This window comes from Homo sapiens, chromosome X, assembly GCF_000001405.40.
Source record: "Homo sapiens chromosome X, GRCh38.p14 Primary Assembly".
NCBI classification, from domain to species: domain Eukaryota; kingdom Metazoa; phylum Chordata; class Mammalia; order Primates; family Hominidae; genus Homo; species Homo sapiens.
In genome coordinates this window covers 15,443,921-15,463,631 of record NC_000023.11, presented here as the reverse complement: position 1 = coordinate 15,463,631, position 19,711 = coordinate 15,443,921, and the positions used below count along the sequence as shown (strand labels likewise).

The 19,711-nt window shown below is 40.3% G+C and overlaps 1 protein-coding gene and 1 long non-coding RNA gene across 3 annotated transcripts in view; both read left to right on the top strand.

Moving 5' to 3' along the window:
* PIR-FIGF (PIR-FIGF readthrough) overlaps positions 1–19,711 on the top strand; it is a 145,719-nt gene that overhangs the window by 27,678 nt on the left and 98,330 nt on the right. Inside the window, exons 3-4 of the long non-coding RNA NR_037859.2 lie at positions 3,892–3,975; positions 7,578–7,784. This is a non-coding gene — a long non-coding RNA (PIR-FIGF readthrough). The remainder of the gene's footprint in view (positions 1–3,891; positions 3,976–7,577; positions 7,785–19,711) is intronic.
* Positions 1–19,711, top strand: part of PIR (pirin) — a 108,535-nt gene that overhangs the window by 29,702 nt on the left and 59,122 nt on the right. For both annotated transcript variants that reach the window (NM_001018109.3, NM_003662.4), the window contains exons 4-5: positions 3,892–3,975; positions 7,578–7,784. In NM_001018109.3, the coding sequence (NP_001018119.1) occupies positions 3,892–3,975; positions 7,578–7,784 (291 nt within the window). The remainder of the gene's footprint in view (positions 1–3,891; positions 3,976–7,577; positions 7,785–19,711) is intronic.

The following is a 19,711-nucleotide window of genomic DNA, read 5'->3' as shown; positions in this document are numbered from 1 at the left end:
TTTTGTAGCCATCTGCCTGTGACCTGCTGGGGTAAAGGCCCTGCCTAGGCTATTCTGTTCACAGTATACCTCAATGATATTATTCTGCAGGATGAAACGTGGAGAGTCCTTGTGTCAGCCAGCCCTGATTTGCACTGTATTATGTGCTCTATAAATATTTTGATTCAAGAACTGGCATCCAATAAAGTTAGCTCAGGAAGAGGAGAGTTTATTATAAATCTGCAATATAAAAACGTCAACAACATGACAGTAGCAAGGCTTTTATTGCTTTTAGTTTAGGTATTAGGAGGCATAATAAATAATAACTTGTTCTCCCAGCCTGAATTCTCAACCAATTGAGAAGATAAAGGAGTAAGAAAGATGGCAGACAAAAATACCTTTATTTCTGATAAAGCTGATACTGGAGAAGGTGGCTTATATCTGCGGGCAGGTGGGCTTCTGAATACTGCACCTGAAAATAAGGCAGACTTACTCAGATCTCACCAGCTGTGCTAGACCCCTGTAGGCTACCACCACGGGTGCTAGTCCCTCTCACGGAGACAAAGAGAAAGAGGACACTTGCTTTCTGTGGATAGGCTGACTCTCAAGAGGAGGGAGAGAGGAGGGGGCTTGGCTCTGCAAACTCAATTTCTACTTTCAACTCTACCAGTCCTACTTACTATATGTCTTCCTCATGAGAATATAAGCTTCATGAAGACAATTACTGTATCTGTCTTCTCCACTTTTTTATCTCCCAACACAGTACCTAGGACATTATAGGACTTCAGTGAGTATTTGTTCAATGAATGTTGTTGGTGCACTTACCTTCTCAATATATTATTTTAAAATTATTGTATCATAGGTTTTATATATTTGAATTGATATCTTATGATTATGTCCTAAATATACAAATATGTAGGGCAAAATAATAACCATTGCTGTTTATGATTTTTAAAACAAATTTTTGAATTTTCATGTGAAAAAAGACTATTTAGGTCTACTTTTTATGCCTTAGGATAAAGCAAAAACATAGACGACAAAAACAATCTGGCTTTGACTTATTCGATGAGTGCTTGTATAGAGGAGGAAAGAACAATTTTGTTTGTGTAAAACAGCAATATCTGATGTATATGCTGAGAAATTCATAAATATTTTCTCTTCTCTTGCCTCCTGGGCATTTTTTTTTCTTTCTTCTTTATATCTTACAATATTTCCACTCTGTTTTTTATTGTGGATTTAGATATTTCTTGAAGGAGTTAACAGATAAATTTCCCAAATGCATACAAAATGGATGTCGAATCCAAATAGATTACACAAAAAGAGCCCATGTCCTGACACACAACATTTTACGCTTTAAGTGCTAAATTATATATTTCAAATAACAATGTTGCCGTGTTCCTGAGGTAATTTTAAATTCTTACTAATTATTTGGTATCTTTTAATCTTTATTTGCTAGAGTAATCACTATAGCCTTAAAATGAGAAGTTTAGAGTTGCTTGATTTTTCCCTTTAGTAGAATAATGAAATAAGAAGGGTTTACTTTTCTTCTGCTTTTTAGAGTTGATGCAAGTCTTGTTCTACCAAAAGGTACTGTGATTGCAGAAAGTCCTGGGAAGGTTTTTCTATCTACACAAAATGCCTACCATAGTTGACTACTGATTTTCAAATTCATTCTATCTAAACCTGTGCTATCAAAGGGAATTTTCTGTAAAGATGGAAATGTTCTATAATCTGCACTACCCAATATGATAGCCATTAGCCGGATGGGGCTTTTGAGCACCCAAAATGTGGCAGGTGCACCTGAGGTGCTGAATTTTAAATTTTATTTAATTTTTTTTGTTTTTGTTTTATTTATTTATTTATTTTTTTGAGATGAAGTCTCAGTCTTGTTGCCCAGGCTGGAGTGCAATGGTGCGATCTCGGCTCACTGCAACCTCTGCCTCCCGAGTTGAAGTGATTCTCCTGCTTCAGCCTCCCCAGTAGCTGGGATTACAGGCGCCTGCCACCACACCCGGCTAATTTTTTTGTAGTTTTAGTAGAGACAGGGTTTCACCATGTTGGCCAGGCTGGTCTTGAACTCCTGACCTCAGGCGATCCGCCCACCTTGGCCTCCCAAAGTGCTGGGATTACAGGTGTGAGCCACCGCACCCAGCCAATTTTATTTAATTTTAATTAATTTAAACTTAAATAGCTGCATGTCGCTAGTGGCTACTCTATTGGGCAGCATAGAATTTCTTTCCATTTTTAGATTTAGTATGGACATGTCCCTGGAAAAGTTGACTTATTTTCTATGAATTCATTTAACATATTTTATAAACATTTATTGAGCACCTAGTGAGTTTGTGTGCTTGGTGTCAGAAATATGTTTCCTTTGGATTTCCTGAGGCAGCTTTTTGGTGGTGTGGAGACCTCACATATGCCATCCCACACACCTGTGTGAACAAGCCTTGGTAACAGGGACCCTGCTGGTTCAACAGGAGCTGTCTCTCTTTCACCCCAATCTCCAGGGCCCACCATGCCAGGACCATCATCTGCTGGGCTGAAGGGGTGAGTGGCGGCTCTTTTCACTCAGCTGTGAGCTCTGGCAGGCTCAGGGATGCATCTGCTAGGAGGAAGGGGCACCTAGGTGAGATTCTGTCAAAGACATTGTATGGCTAATGTGGCCCAGTCACAGAGATTCTTTATCTCAGTTTACTCCTCTTAGTTGCTCCTGACACTTTCCTCAACAAATTTTCTGTGGAAAAAGCAAACACGTCTTCACAGCTACCCAATAACACTTTTTCTTTTTCCTTTTTTTCAAGCTTCATTGAGGTACAGTTGGCAAATAAAAATTGTTTATATTCAAGGTGTACAACGTGATGATTTGATGTATGTATACATTGTGGAATGATTACCACAATCAAGCTAAGGTATCCATTACCTCACATAGTTACCTATTTTTGTGGTGAGAGCACAGAAGGTTACTCTCTTAGGAAATTTTAAGTGTATAATACTTACTATTAATTCTAGTCACTATGCTGTGCTTTAGGTCTTCAGAACATATTCATCTTGTCACTGCAAGTTTGTACCCTTTAATCAACATCTTCCCATGTTCCCTACCTCCTGACCCCTGGTAGCTACCCTTCTACTCTGTTTATGTGAGATCATGCAGTATTTGTCCCTCTGTGTCTGGCTTATTTCACTTAGCATAATATCCTCCAGGTTCATCCGTGTTGCTGAAAATGGCAAGATTTACTTATTTTTTAAGGCTTAATAGTACTCCATTGTGTATATATACCACATTATCTATTTATTGGTCAACAGATACTCTAGTTATTTCTATATCTTGGCTATTATGAATAGTGCTGCAATGAACATGGGAGTGTAAAATAACTCTTTGAGATAGTGATTTTATTTTGTTTGGATATATACCCAGGATGAGATTGCTGTGTTGTATAGGAGTTCTATTTTTCATCTTTTGAAGAACCTCCATATTCTTTTCCATAATGCCTATACTAATTTACCGTTCCACCAGCAATGTATAAGGATTCCCTTTTCTCCACACCCTCACCAACACTTGTTATCTTTTGACTTTTTGCTAGTAGCTGTCCTAACAGATGTGAGATGATATCTCATTGTAGCTTTCATTTGCATTTTTCTGACAATGTTGACTACCTTTTCATATACCTGTTGGCCATTTGTATGTCTTCCTTGGGAAAGTGTCTATTCAAGTCCTTTGCCTATTTTTTTTTTTTTTTTAATGAAAAGGCAACTCACGGAATGGGAGAAAATGTTTGCAAACCATATTATCCAATAAGGGATTAAGTTCCAAAATATACAAGGAACTCATACAAGTCAGTAGGGATAATTAAATAATAACCCAATTTAAAAATAGGCAAAGGATCTACTTTTTTTCCTGTTTGTTTTTCAAAGGTATCCTACCTCCTGGAAGGGGGCAGCATGGCCCATGAAGACTTCTGTGGACACACTGGTAAAATGAACCCAGGAGATTTGCAGGTATGGCCAAGGACAAGGAATTGCTGGTGGTTTAGTAGTTTTTGGGTGCACGTGCTTGATCCTGCCCACTTCCAGTACATTCACCCTTTCCACACTCTCTCTATTATATTCTTGACTTTTCCTTTTCTACAGATTCTTTTACTCAGCCTGGAAACCACACAGGTCTCTTATATTCTTCTTTCACACTTTCCTTGACCCCTCAATCACTTTTTAGCTCCCACCTAGTCTTTTTCTTACATTTCTCAAAAGAGTAATCAGGAATGATATCCCAACTTCCTTATCTTTCATTCGTTTTGTACTTACTGAGATCAGATTTGGCCTCTCAGTAGCCCCTTCCAAATCTTTACTGAAGCTATTCAGGTAATGGTCACTTGTGATGTCCCAGTTGCCAAATTCAGTGATTGTTTCAGTCCTCATCTTTCTAGACCTCTCTGCTGCATTTGAGACAATGTATTATTTATCTTCCAACTCATTTGCAGGGTTAGGTGTTATCACTTAAGACAATGACCTCGAGCCCTCCATCATCCTAGTCTTGTCTGAGATATGTTACAATTAAAATCCCCCAAAATACTTGGGTCATATTTGCCAGTTTTGTAAGTCGAAACTCTATACCAGGTACTGTCTGGGATTTTATATGTATATGTTTTGAGGAATGATAAATTCACATATTTGAATCATAATATTTCAATGAAAGTGAAATTTAAAGACAAAAAAGCAAAAGAAAAAAGTCATGGCAAAAAGTCAATAGTAACCTCTCACTGGAGCAGAACATGAAATGAAGACTGCTTGCAAAGATACATATGATGACTGGAAATGTCCTGATCGTGGAAGTGGTGACTTCTGCCATCTGCACCATGGAGCTGCCTAGCAGCCATATGTGTGAGACAGTGGTCAACACTTCTTCTACCACTATAACTTCACATTGATTAGGATGATGATTGCATAGTGTCTTTCAGTTTATTCAGAGTTTTTGTATGCATGATCTCTTTGCGATAAGTAGTATTATTATTATCTTTTTGAGACAGGGCCTCACTCTCTTGCTCAGGCTGTAGTGCAATGGTGCATTCACTATTCACTGCAGCCTCGACCTCCCCAGCTCAAGTGATCCTTCCACCTTAGCTTCCCTAGTAGGTGGGACCACAGGTGCACAACACCACACCTGGCTAATTTTATTTTTTTGTAGAGATGGGGTCTCGTTATGTTGTCCAGGCTGGTCTCAAACTCCTAGGCTCAAGCGATCCACCCGCCTTGGCCTCCCAAAGTGCTTGGGTTACAAGCATGAGCCACTGTGCCCAGCAAAAAGAACCATAATATTATTCTCATCTCATTTTTAAAAATGAGGAAATGGGGATTTAAAGATGTTTTTAAAAACAGATGCCCATAGCCTCAGAGCTAGTAAATGATGAGGATGGAAAGAGAACCCCATTCTCCCCTTCCAGATCCAATATATAGGCCATTTTAGGTAAAGTATTGCCAAACTAGCTCATATCTAAAAAGGATAACCAAGGTATTGAAAATATGAAGAAATGAACTTTAAAGGGAAAAGGAAAATGCTTAAAAATGGGAGGATGTCTTTGAGGGACACCAATAACTATCATTAGACAGAAGAAATGCAGCATAAGAGGGTGTTTAGGTATACCTTATACTGCATTAGAGCAGGGTCAACAAATTTTTTCTATAAAGGGCAAATGGGCTTTGGGGACCATATGGCCTCTGTTGCCACTACCAGACTCTGTCATTGCAGCATGAAAGCAGACATAGACAGTATGTCAATGAATGGGCATGGCCGTGTGCCAATAAACTTTTACAAAAACAGGTGGCAGGTTAGATTGGGCCCCCAGGCTGTAGTTTGCCAACTCCTACATTAGAAGGTTTAACAAGCCTTTTCAAATGGGAGTAGAGGGAAATCTAGACTTCATGGAAGAAAAAAATCTTTAAAGTATGCACTGGCCTCCTTTCAGATCCTTCAACTAATAATGCTCATTCTTGTCTCAGATTCTTTTTCACATGCTGTTGTTTCTCTGTGGAATCCTCTTCCTCTTCCCCTTCCCCTGGCTAATTCTTACTCCTTGTTTGGATCTCAGCCTGAAGATTGCACCCTCAGATAAGCTGCCTTGAACTGAGCAGGACACTTCACGTGCTCACAGAACCCTGTCATTCTTCGAAGCACAAGCACAATTATAATGGCAATAATGATATGCATGACATTGTTTGTTTAAGGATTTTTCTCCTGATGAGGGCTGTGTGGAAGATGCTGTTGATGGCCTGCCTCATAGCCCTTTGGCCCAACTGTGAGTTCAGGTGGTGATGGTCCCCGTATGTGTACAGTACCATCTCAAGTGCTGTTACTCTGTCTGAGGGCTTTCTCCAGCCCTCACTGACCATATGTGGGCAGACCATATGTGTCAGTGATTTAACACTCCCATGGGAACTCTTGGTCAGTGAAGGATGGGAATTAGAGTCTAAATACCCTAGCTTCCCCTCTTCTCCATGCAACAATTTCAAAGTACATATATGGTTCCCAGTGGGATTGAATTCCAGATGTCCACAGATATAACCTTCTCATTAACAACTCTTTTTGGCTTTCTCCCTTGCCTCACTCTTCCCTACTCTCTCACTTGTGCTTTCTGCATCACTTTCCAAATAAACAACCTGCACATGTCTTTGTCTCACAACTTCTGTGGGAGAACTCAAACTAAGACAGGTAGGAAATGCATCTATGATGTTCATACCTTCATCTCCAGATTCCAAGATTTAGTCTTTGGGGCTGGTCCCTAATCTGCTTTTAATACAGACATGAACAAACACTTGAAGAATCTGCATAACAGTGGAGGCAATAATTGTTTCTCCAAGTAGCGAGGGTTCCATTACTGGAACTGAGCAAGTACAGATACAAGTTAACCATCCACAGTATAGTGGATACTGGGGACCTCCAAATGTATTTGTAGGCCCACATATTTATCCTCCAATGTCTGGGAACACTGGCTGCTGATGGCTCACAACGGCTTCCCTTCCTAGGAACTGCCCTCTGCAGCAGGGAATTGCCTCACCCAAAGTTGTGCTTTCCACCTGGGGATGGCCCACAGTCAATGGTTTGCTGATGTGGGGATATAAAAACTTGGCCACATTGTCTCAAGTCGGGACAATTCTGAAGGTTCATCTCAACTCCAGAGCTCCCTGTTGGATTGGCTAAAGCCTCTGTAGTAACTGCATTGCTGGGGAGCTTCTCCCCCTGCCCAATCCTGCTTTTTTCACTACTTAAGTTGTATCTCCTGAGAACACAGCCCAGTATACTATCTTCCTGCAACTCCCCATCTTAGAGCTTAATCTAAGACTCAGGGAAGTCAAAGAGAGGATTCTTCCATTTGTGGGAATTCCAGTTCCGATGTGTTGATTTCAAGTGAGGAAGCACAGGAAGCATTTGCAAAACTGGAAAGGGCCCCAGCAATTGTCACTGATGTTTATTATTCCCCTCGATGCCCAGGGGCTCTGATAGCAGCACTGGTAAGATGTCTCACTTAGTGATGGTGTTGTAATTGTTCCACCTATAGACTTATTAGGAGCTTGGTTACATTTCCCTCTTGTTGGTTTTGTGTTTGCAGTGGATGACTGCGGGCCGGGGCATTCTGCACGCTGAGATGCCTTGCTCAGAGGAGCCAGCCCATGGCCTACAACTGTGGGTTAATTTGAGGAGCTCAGAGAAGATGGTGGAGCCTCAGTACCAGGAACTGAAAAGTGAAGAAATCCCTAAACCCAGTAAGGATGGTGTGACAGTTGCTGTCATTTCTGGAGAAGCCCTGGGAATAAAGGTAAGCCAGGCTATTGTGTCTATTTAACCTGAGGCATGCAGTGACATAAGGCTGGCCCCTTCTGGATTGTTAGCTCTCACTAGGTTTACCAAAATTCATGTCCCATGGGATGGACTTGATTCATAGTTGTCAGAATAAGTGCAACCTAAGAAAACTCAGAAATTTTTCCTGCCTACAAACCCATAGAGTTAGGAAAATTACAAGAAAGCAAGCTCATATAAAGTTTGGTCGAGGAGCAATTTTCAAAGTATGTCTTAATATGTGTGCTGATTTAGCCTAATTCCTTTCACTTATAGTGCAATTTTATGCTTTAAATTATAGCTCCTTAGTACAGCAGGATTGCTACCTTTAAGAAACAAACAACCAAAAAGCAAGACTAAACTCCACTTCACAAAGATTTATGTAAATTACTTATGTCCAACTTAGTAATGTAAGGAAAGCACACTACTACATTGCAGAAAGTTTATTTTTAAATTTTAACTTGACAATTTGTCCAACCCATACACGACATGCCCTGTACATTCTTTTCAACTGGGACTTTATATTATTTGGATTTATAGTCTCACCTTTTTGATTAAATAAGTCAATTTAGGCTAAAGATTATGGACATATTTGTGGGAGGAAAGGGGTGCGGCAAATGCCATGTTAATTGCACACCAGAACTGCTCCTGGGGAGCATAAGATTCCTCACACCAACCAATCTGAGGTAGTGTGTTTTCTTAGGTGGGGTTTCCCAGAAGCAGACCCTGAGATGAAGATTCCCATCCAAGAGATTTTTAAGTAAGCGTTCCTAGGAGAACAGTAAAAGGAATCAGGACAAATTAGGGGAGGAAGTGAAGCAAGGCTGCCATCTCAGGCAGAGTCCTAAAGAGGGTGGCTTTACCTTGATCCTGCAAGGGACTTTGAAAGATCAACGTGCCTCAGAGATGTCCGAGCCCATCCCTGGCAAGGGAGCCGGGCTTTCATGCTCCCTTACCCAATGGTCATTGGTTATGGCCATTAACTTTGAAGTGGAGGCACAGAAATGGTTAAAAGGGATCTGAGGGGATCTGGGAGAAGCCTTGACATCGGGTACTACACATGGAACCTGGCATTGAGTGCATCAAGATAGTGGGAGTTACTCTGCCATTCTCCCAGTGCACAACCAGCACTTAAAACTATCTAAAACTAACTTCTGTAAATTTTAATTTTTTGATGTGTACCATCAGGGATAATGGCTTGGCAGTGGCTACTAACCAACCACTCAATGGGATGCATGGGATGGTTAACAGATTGGTCATGGTTATTGGTTGGGACTTACCAGTTTTTGTATTTCCTGAACTATAACCAAAGTTTTACCGTTTTTATTTTTGTTTTTTTGTTTTTTTTTTTTTTACCTGTACCCTGCCTAGGTATATGATTTTGTTTTGTGTTTCTAGTGCAAACAAAAGTAATTGAACAACAACGACAAAAAAATCAAAGTTCACAAAGTTAAGCATACCTGACTGCTGTCCACACCCCTGGCAGACCTATTGCTTACTTTGCCATTGGAAAAGACCCTTTGTTGTGTTTCTGTGACTCGTTTCTGTTTTGCCAAGCATTGGTCAGTGAGTGCCCTTTTCAGCTGTTTGTGAAGAGTTTCTTTCCCTTGAGCTCTGCAGAAGAGGGTTAAGATCCTGTGAGGACTTCCTGGTGTAGCAGCAAAAGATATTGTTCAGTATAGTATCAGGCAGAGCGGTCTAAAGGGAGCTGAATTAATACAGATATGAAGCTGCTCACTCCATCTCACATGGTATTTTCCTTCCCTGTTTCCAGGACTCTGAGGTTTTAGGGACATGCCTTTAGGGGATAGTGAGATGGATAGTAGAGGGCAAGAAGCCCCCTTCTGCTTCAACCAAAGCAGAAGACTTTGCCCGATTTCATATATTGTGATTGTCCATAAGATTTGATTTAGAAAAAGAGTTGAACTGTTGGCAGTTCAAAAGAGAAATCAGACCAGTGATTTAGTTGATTAGCAAAGCCAGTGATATCACGAATCCTTAGAGTTTACAACTACTTCTCATTTATAGAAATCATAAGGCAATTTAAAGTTGGAGCCAGTAAAGCACTTTCAAGCAGCAGACCATGTGGTCTTGTAATCACAGCCAAGGATAAGAAACCAGAGGTAATGTTTTAACTTTGTAAAATAATGTCTTAGTACCTGCCAGCTTCTGTTATTTATTTTTGTTGAATAAAATCTCTGAAGTGAATTATATTCTCCTAAGTAAATGACCAGTCTTTCTTACGAGTGAATTTTAATAATAACGCTTCTTGGAACCATGGGCAGCATTAATTTAGATTTCAAGAGGCAGCGTGGTGCAGTGGTTACCTGCATGGACTCTGGAGATAGAATGCCTGGGTTAGAATCCTTACCATGAAATAGCTGTGTGGCCTTGGGCAAGCCAGTTACTTTCTCTGGACCTCAGTGTCTCATCTATTAAATAGGACTTTTTGTGAAGATTAAGTGACTTTTTATACATTAAACTCTCAGAATAGTGCCAGACACATTGTAAGCATCACATAAGTGGCAGTTATTATTTTGATTAATTTACGGTAACTTGAACAGGAGCTGGGCTGAGATTTATGTCTGCCATCTAAGCTAAAGGGATTTGCTGTGATTTGGGAAGGGTTATTAACCTGCACTCAAGAAAGGACACCAGTAAGAGTCATTTTAAAGATAGGGAGCAACTGGTGATTTCGTTGTGGGTCTCATAAGAAACATAGTTTTGCACATCTGAAGCCTTAATATCTGATTAACAAGGAATGACTGGGTCTTAAAAGGTCTAGACCTACCATAAAAAGAAACTGAAGATTGTTTCGCATCAGGAAGACAATTTTAGGTTAAATTACAAGGTGAGGCTGAGAATATATATTTCAAGAGATTAGTGTATTTATAACCAATACAGAGTCAACAACAACTTCCATCTCTGCAACTAAAATACCTAGAAAATGGAATTAGCAATAATTCCAGCACTTCTTCAACTTTAATATTCATGTGAATTACCTGAGGGTCTTGATAAAATGCAGACTCTGATTCAGCACATCTGAGATGGGGTCTAAGAGTCTACATTTCTAACAGGCTCCCAGGTGATGCCAATACTGTGGTCTGGGGACCACTCTTTGGAACATGCATAATGGGTATGGGATCCAAGACACAGGAGTTTACCCATCTTGAGAAATCATTTGATTAAGCTCCTATAGAAGATGTCAAATGATCTAGTACTGTGAATTTTGGCAAATCTTATTTAGCTTTTCTGGACCTCAGTCCCGACATCCACAAAAAAGGTGAGGGGGGTTTTGAATAAGATACTGTCGCTTTTATGAGCAACAAAACTGCCTTTTTGATACTACCAAGGGTAGCTGTATGCCTGTTTCCCAGGTTGTATGTGTCTGAGCATTTATTCAACCCTTGGAAAGCCAAGACAGAACAAGATTCTGCCAGGACAGCATGGTCTAAAGTGAAGGCTGAACAGGGAGAAAAGGTTAAAATGGGATAGTTTGAATAGTTCCTGTCACTTTTGGAAGGTCAAAATCACATGTTTATTTCATGAAAGTATGAAATTCTCCAAACCCCATTCCATCCTTATCAGACAACTAATCAGCAATATTATTGCCAGCTCTCTTTGGAACACAGTTCTTTTTCCAAAAACACGCCTCTACTTGCCTCCTGCTGCTCTAAATTCTGTTGTCAGAAGCAAACCTTGAGGAGGCCTCAGCCCCACTGGGGTTAGAGAAAGGCAATCTGGAGCCAGATGGCCTTGGTTCAAGGCCAGCTCACCACTGACTCACTCTGAAGAAGTCACTTAAGATTGCTGTGCCTCAGTGTTCTCATCTGTAAAATGGAGAAGATTATAATGACCCAGCTCAGAGGGTTGCTGGGAGGATTAGGTTGGCTATTACTTGTAAAGTACTTAGAACAGGTGCAGAGTAAGCCCTCTGCAAGTGGTTGCTATTTTCACTTCCATACAAAATCTTTGGGCAGTTTTCATGTGGCCTACAAATGTAACCAAAAGAATCTTTCTTCTGATGGACAGTCTGTATATTCATGTGTTGGATGATAACCAAACTTTAAAAAATTTAATTTTCAAAAATGCCTGCTAAACATCTCATGTAATTCACTCAGATCATACCACTGTGCACTTAGCACCGGAAACAATGCCTGAGAGATAACAGATGATCAATAAATATTTTCAAATGAGTAAATGAAATCATTAAAATATACATGGATGCTGGAATAAGAGAAATGAAGGTAAAGTAGTAAGAAGATAGACAATATAGGGATTAAGAATGAGTGAAATAAGCTTAAAATGAGCTTACTAAAAAGTTAAGAGAACAATAAAATTAGCTAAATTATATGTTAAAATAAAATAAACTATTTAAGGGACTAGGAAGTAAGGAAATAAAAGCCAGATTGATCTTTTTTTTTTTTCTTTAAATGTGAACTCTTTTGCAGGACCCAAATTGTTCTTGCAGGTTTCTTCAAGCAGTGACAATAATGGTAAACAAAGGTTCAGAGGCTTGTGGTTCCCCTTGGAAGTCCACAGGCAGGTGTCTTCTTATCTGCTTTAGCTTCTTCCATGTGGCTTTTCAGGGCATGGCTTGAGCTCCAGAATAGTGGATATACTTATCAGCTTTCTAGGCATTTCTTGTGGATATCTCCCCTCCCTTGCCGGTTTAGCTGTACAAGCATTGGAAGACCCCATGTCCCTCGGGCAATTCTTTCCTAGTCAACGAGCAACCTGCCCACTAATTGGCCTGTGTTGGTTGTGGGTTGACAAGTAATTTATAATCAAGCCTGTAATAATCCCCTGTGATTTGGAGAGCTGATGGAGTCTCCTGGCCACTGTGCAAGCCACTGTGTGTGCAAGCCACTGGTGCACACACACGATTTTTCCTGTACCAGAACTAGAGAGAAATAGCTGCCCACATTTTCCAGGTTTTGCTTTCATCCAAGAGACTTTTAGGGGCTGGATGTTATTTGAAACACTTTATCACCAAAATGCAATTTTGTCAGTATTCCTTCTACCTTAACTTGATTAAAAATATATTTTATGTGGCTTTTAGGGGAATACTTTTATAGCACATGCAAACGGCAGTGGGTTTTGGGCAATCAGAATACTGGAAGGTAAACTTAAAACATTTTTGCATCTTAGTAAACTCAGAACATTTTCAGGGGAAATTTGACTTCTTTGATTATATTGGGCACATTTAAGGAGCTCCTCCCTCACCTGCCTTCCTGCATTTGCTTCCGTCCACTGTGTGATGTGGAGAGAGCTGGACTCTTCCCACAGGAGGCTGCTCTTTTCTTCTCAAGCTCAGGAGAACAATATTTTGAAGTAGCATTAAAAAAAAACTATTAAATCATGGAAACAGGTAACATATACGCGCACACTTTTTTTGCCTTTGAAATATTCCAGCAAGTTCATGGATCTAGCTAAAAAAAAAGAAAAATAACAGATACTCTCCTAATGGCAGAGAGTGTGAGAGGGGCACTGGGTTTCTGACATAGGGAGCTTGAGTAAACAGGCTCCAGCTGTCCCAGAGAGCAAGCAAAGGAAAAACAACACTTGCTTGGGAAGGAATTCTCCCTTCCAAAGACCTCTCTTTTAATTTATTGTATTTATAAATCAGAGCGCTCTGTGATAGATTTAAAAACTGGATATTTAACAAATGTTCCCTTTGGGGTGAGGGTAGCAGGGATAAGGATGGACCTGAAACTTCCCTCAGTATGTCTTTTAATTTTTACTTTTGAAAGATAGAAATGCTTACATATTTAAAATATCAAGTTAAACCAGAAAAGAAAAAAGAAACAAGTCTTAAAATCAAAAACAAATAGAAACAAGTGAAGAATCTAAAATTGGTATAAAGATATTGGCAACATAACCACACAGAGAAAACATTTATTTGAAGGGCTTTTAAACATGATGTCCTGGCTGTATATTTTAGTGGGATATATTCTAAAGACAAAAAGAACAGCAAAAAATATTTTAAACTTTACTCCATAGTCTTTGTTGTTAGTGTTGGTTTTATAATTTCATAACAAGTTAATGTGTATTATGAAATAAAACAAATTAGTAAATTTGTTAATGTTTATAGAAATCAAGATTTTCAGTATAAGAAAAATGGATACAAATATAAAAGAGCTAAGAAAAATACTGTAATATTCAATGTTAAATTCAACATTAAATAGACATTTTAAAACATTGGATGGCCATTATTTCTTTGAGGCAGTTTCTGGAAACAATATGATTTTATCATTTTAGGAGTCCAAGATTTTTGATGATGCAATTTATGTTTCTTTCTGATAACAACTCCATTCTCCACTGATTATTTCCATTGATTTTTTTATGGTTCATGTTTAATTCAATGCTATGAGAAGTGCTTTAAAAAGTTCCACCTAAGAAATTCACAATCACCCTAATGAATTCTGGTGAAATTCCCCTTTTAAGACATTCTATAACTGTATTTTAATGGATAGATAGGGGGAGAAAGTAAAGGAAATATCCGCATGAATCAGAGAGCTTCCTGGTCTCTTTTTGACACCGGGCAAGGGAGGAAGCAGAGCATTTTAGGGAGAAAGAATTCTGCAAAATACTGTAGAAAAAAAGGAGTTGAGGATTTCCCCATCTTTATCTCCTTGCTTCTATGCACCAAGGTCCAACCCAGGTCCCCTCTCTTTGGTGCAGCCTTCTCAGCTGTCCTGGCCGACAAGCATCTCAACTTCTGCCCAGATTCACACAGCCATTCTGTCTTCATAACTCATGAGATTTTTGGGCGGACGGCATTTAATTTACATGTCCCATTTCCCCTTAATTCCTATTAGGCACCTGCTGTGTGTACATCATGCAGTTCCCTGGAGATACAATGTGAATAAGATACAACCACTGTCCTCAAAAATGCTCACAGTCTAGCTTGGGAGAGAAACCGGCAAACAGCAGAAGTATAATGTGACACAGGAAATACGAAAACAGCAGTATGTGAAAATCTCATGATACTCCAGAATAGGGAGAATCAATTCTGCTTGTGTGGATGGAGCAAGGGAAAGAAAGATTGGGCAGGGATCACGTCTTGTAATGGCTTGTATAAAGACTTGGATAGTAAGAGTGCAGTAACTATTTAGGCATCCTGATGCAGGCTGCATAGGCAACCAGATACTTGTGGAGTTATGGCAGGGCAAGAGGAAGGAAATGATGCAAAATATGGGGATGGAGAAAAACCCAAGTTTGTCTACCTCTGGATTTTGCCTAAGGCCAACGTTTGTTGTATGCATATTCTTGCATCCTTCTCTCACAAGGTTTTAAATAGTAGGGCATGAGGTTAAGGTGCAGTGGCCTCCCCAGCATGCTATATGCAGTCCATCTCATCTCAGGTTTCATGAAGCAGTTCATTCTACGGGACGTGCCTGCTACAGGCCATGTAGCCTGAGCAGATGATCAGCAACATTCCACAGACAAGTGCAAAACTTGGCTTGGATTCACTGTTGAGAATAGGCACAATTAGGTCTGCTAGTCTTGTTTAGTAAATAGGAAGACACCAAAGAAATGTACCCAGCAACTTCAAAGAACTTGTCTTGTGGTAGGCAGCCATAGTTGGCACTTCATTTGCAGTTAGGAATGTGCAAATAAACAGTGGTCAGGATCTGCTCAAATCAGCTGGACAAAAGCTTCCTCTTGCCCAGGGCAGCCCACTCACCCCAGAAATACCATTCTTGGTGTGCACAAAGGGTGCCAGATGTTCTTATTCATTCAAGATGTCCCTGCTGACCTAATCCCTAAGAAGTACATTTCAGTCGTGGCGACAAGCCCTCTCCTTCCAGTGAATGAAGAATGGATAGGTGCACTTTTAAACCAGAAGTAACACCCTGTGCCATTCATACTTTGTTGGCCCTAGTGATCAGGATTGTAACTTAGCAGGGAAATTTAGACTAAGAGCATAATAAAAGCTATTAAAAAAACCCAAGGTGTCAACTTCAATAAAGGTTAGTGGTCACTTTAGCATATTATTGTAATCACTTCTATGGCCATCAAGACTTGTCCTTTTAGGATATAGTATGTCTTTTCCCAGGAACACATTACATATTTTTTCTAACCACAGAAAAAAATGCAGGACAGCTTCAGAGAGCTGTCTTGAGACTCTTGCATGTTGCATTAAAAGCTGAGCTCTTATGGATATGAATAAAGTGGATGTCAGTATTTTAAAAACTGGTATCAGCAGCCGGGCGTGGTGGCTCACGCCTGTAATCCCAGCACTTTGGGAGGCCGAGGCGGCCGGATCACGAGGTCAGGAGATCAAGACCATCCTGGCTAACATGGTGAAACCCCGTCTCTACTAAAAATACAAAAACAAAATTAGCCAGGAGTGGTGGTGGGTGCCTGTAGTCCCAGCTACTCAGGAGGCTGAGGCAGGAGAATGGTGTGAACCCGCGAGGCGGAGCTTGCAGTGAGCCGAGATCATGCCACTGCACTCCAGCCTGGGCCCTGGGCGACAGAGTGAGACTCCATCTCACAAAAAAAAAACCAAAAAACCAAACAAACAAACAAAAAAACAACTGGTATCAGCATATATAAAGCTATGCTGTTGATAGCTGCAAACACAGTACTTCATTTTGACCAAAGCAGAAATCCTTGGGATCATGTAGCTTTTGAATAATTTGATCAAACTCACACTCAAATGTGTTGAGCAAATTCGGGTTCAGATAAAATTCTGATTACTGGAAGCATTAGAAGTTTATAGTATGTAAATTATATCTCAATAAATCTGTTTTGAAAAGGAATTCTACTCCTGTGGACAGGTATATGTACTCCAAGATAGCCAAGTATTTAGACATTTCAACTCAAATGAGCTCTAAATCATTGATAGTAACGATTAAAGGAACAGCATGTTCTGTCATAAAAATCACAGGGAATCATTTTTTGCCATCCATTGCAGATCCGGGGGCTGTTCAGTATTCCTTTGGCTTAGTAAAATGAGATGAGTTCAGCAAACATTTACTGAGGGCCAGCTGCATGCAAGACCCTATAGAGGTATGAGGGGAAAAGGTGAAAAAATCAGGGGGCTGGATGGATGCAGTTGAAGGGAAAGACATATCAACTGATAGCATGAGTATACTGTGGTGAGTCAGCACGCTAGAAATCATGGCAGGCTAATGGGAAAGCAGAGGAGGAGGCTCAGTCCAATCTGGAGGTCCAAGAAAACAGGCCTAAGTCTAAAGGAGAAAACTGACCTGGTGAAGAAGGGTGGAATGTCTAGATCAAGCTTATTCAACTCGCGGCCCAGGACAACTTTGAATATGGCCCAACGCAAATTTATATACTTTCTTAAAACATTGTGAGATTTTTGTTTGTGATTTTTTTTTTCTTTGAGCTCATCAGCTATCATTAATGTTAGTGTATTTTATGTGTGGCCCAAGACAATTCTTCTTCCAGTGTGGCCCAGGGAATCCATTTTGGCCACCCCTGGTCTAGATGGTGCAGAAGGAGACAGCATGAGTAGAGGTGTTTCTGCACAGAGAAACAGTGTTCAGTGGTATAAACCAATGCTTTAAGAAGGCCTTCAAAACACACGTTCATTTTCTAAAGTATGAAAATTGGAAAAGTTCTTATCTTTCTTATGTAAAATTTGGTAATTTGTGTGTTTCTCTCTCTTAGTTTTTTTAAACTTTTCAAATTTATTCTCTTTTGTTTTTAGAAATATCTTGAATAGGCCGGGTGTGGTGGCTCACGCCTGTAATCCCAGCATTTTGGGAGGCCGAGGCGGGTGGATCACGAGGTCAAGAGATAGAGACCGTCCTGGCTAACATGGTGAAACCCCGTCTCTACTAAAAATGCAAAAAATTAGCCAGGCGTGGTGGTGGGTGCCTGTAGTCCCAGCTACTCGGGAGGCTGAGGCAGGAGAATGGCGTGAACCCGGGAGGCGGAGCTTGCAGTGAGCCGAGATCGCGCCACAGCACTTCAGCCTGGGCGACAGAGCGAGACTCCGTCTCAAAAAAAAAAAAAAAAAAAAAAAAAAAGAAATATCTTGAATATACAGATGACGTTTCACCTGGGCTAGTTTCTCATCTGTATTCTTTACCTTTTACCTCCCTCCCTGAGCCAACAAAACTCAAGCACAATGCTCTCACGATGCCATCTAATGGAGTCTTTTGTATTAATATGGCTGTTATGTTTGGAATACAATATGGACTGATTAAGATCTGGCTCCTCCAGGTTTGTTGAGAAATAAAACAATGACAATTTACCTCTTTTTCGTAAAACCTTAAAGCCCCCTTGCTCTCTTTGTTTTATTTTTTAATTATTATTATACTTTAAGTTGTGGGGTACATGTGCACAACGTGCAGGTTTGTTACATAGGCATACATGTGCCATGTTGGTTTGCTGCACCCATCAACGCGTCGTTTACATTGGGTATTTCTCCTAATGCTATCCCTCCCCCAGAACCCCACCCCCCGACTGGCCCGGGTGTGTGATGTTCACCGCCCTGTGTCCAAGTGTTCTCATTGTTCAAGATGATCGTTTTTAACATTATGGAAGGAAACCATGATGGTCATAATTTTTCTACCCTAGATCAACTATAAATAGCAATTAGAGAAATTTAAATGCCTCTTTTTTAAAGGAAGCCATTTTGATGTCCAGAACAAGGCTCTTCTGTCCCACTGCCTTCAGTCACCTGCCTCTGATTAATTTTCTTCTCATCTCTGGGCTCTAAGAACAATACTGGCTTCCCCACCCAACCTCCCACCCCCACGTGTTATTCTCTAGTTACAAAGAAGCGATACACAGGACAGAGGGAGAGCTGGGCAGTGAAAAGGAGGAAGAAAACCCGACACTGTTTCTGCACCATCTTGGTTCCTTTAACATTGATTTTTGGGCCTTTCCACCCTGTCTCCACCAAACAGATTTCTTGTAAACTGCTCCCTGCCTCTGTTTCATTAGGTTTTCTGCCAATTGAGTCCCCCAGCCAGATTCTTTTCCTCAGCAGCCTCCACTCCTGGCTGTGGCAGCTCTGCTTGTCAGGAGTCAGTACCCACCTGTTTTTGTCTGCCTTGGGAGACTTTGAGTGTCTCTAGGTAACTACCAAGACTTGGCTGGTGGATTTTCCCAGCATCAGATATGGATTTGAGGCCATCTGTTACATGTCAGTCCAAAAGAAGTTTTGAGCAAGAGTTCTGGTGACTGTCATTAAGTGTTTTTGTAGGTTTTAACTGACAAAGTCTGTCAGCCAAACAAAAGCAGACCCGTTTATTGAAGAGGGCCTAAAATTCAGTGGAAGTCAAATGTAGGGAGTTGAGGTTGAGAAGACCAAAAAGAACACAGGCATACCCCAGAGATATTGTGGGTTCAGTTCCAGATCACTGTAATAAAGGGAATATTGCAATAAAGCGAATCACACATTTTTTTGCTTCCTAGTGCATATAAAAGTTATGTTTACACTATTTTGTAGTCTGTTAAGTATGCAATAGCATTATATCTAAAAAAGTACATGCCTTAATTTAAAAATACTTTTGTTGAAAAATGCTAATGATCATCTGAACCTCCAGCGCGTCCTAATGTTTCTGCTGATGGAGAATCTTGTCTCAGTGTTGATGGGTGCTGACTGATTAGAGTGGTGGTTGCTGAAGGTTGGGGTGGCTGTGGCAGTTTCTTAAAATCAGACAACGATGTTGTTTGCTGCACTGATTGACTCTTCCTTTCACGAAATATTTCTCTGTAGCGTGTAATGCTGTTCGATTATATTTTACCCACAGTGGAACTTCTTTCAAAATTGGAGTCAGTACTCTCCAACCCTGCCACTGCTTTATCAACTGAGTTTATGTGATATTTTAAAACTTTTATTGTCATTTCCACAATGTTTACAGCATCTTCACCAGGAGACTCCCTCTCAAGAAACTACTTTCTTTGCTCTTTGATAAG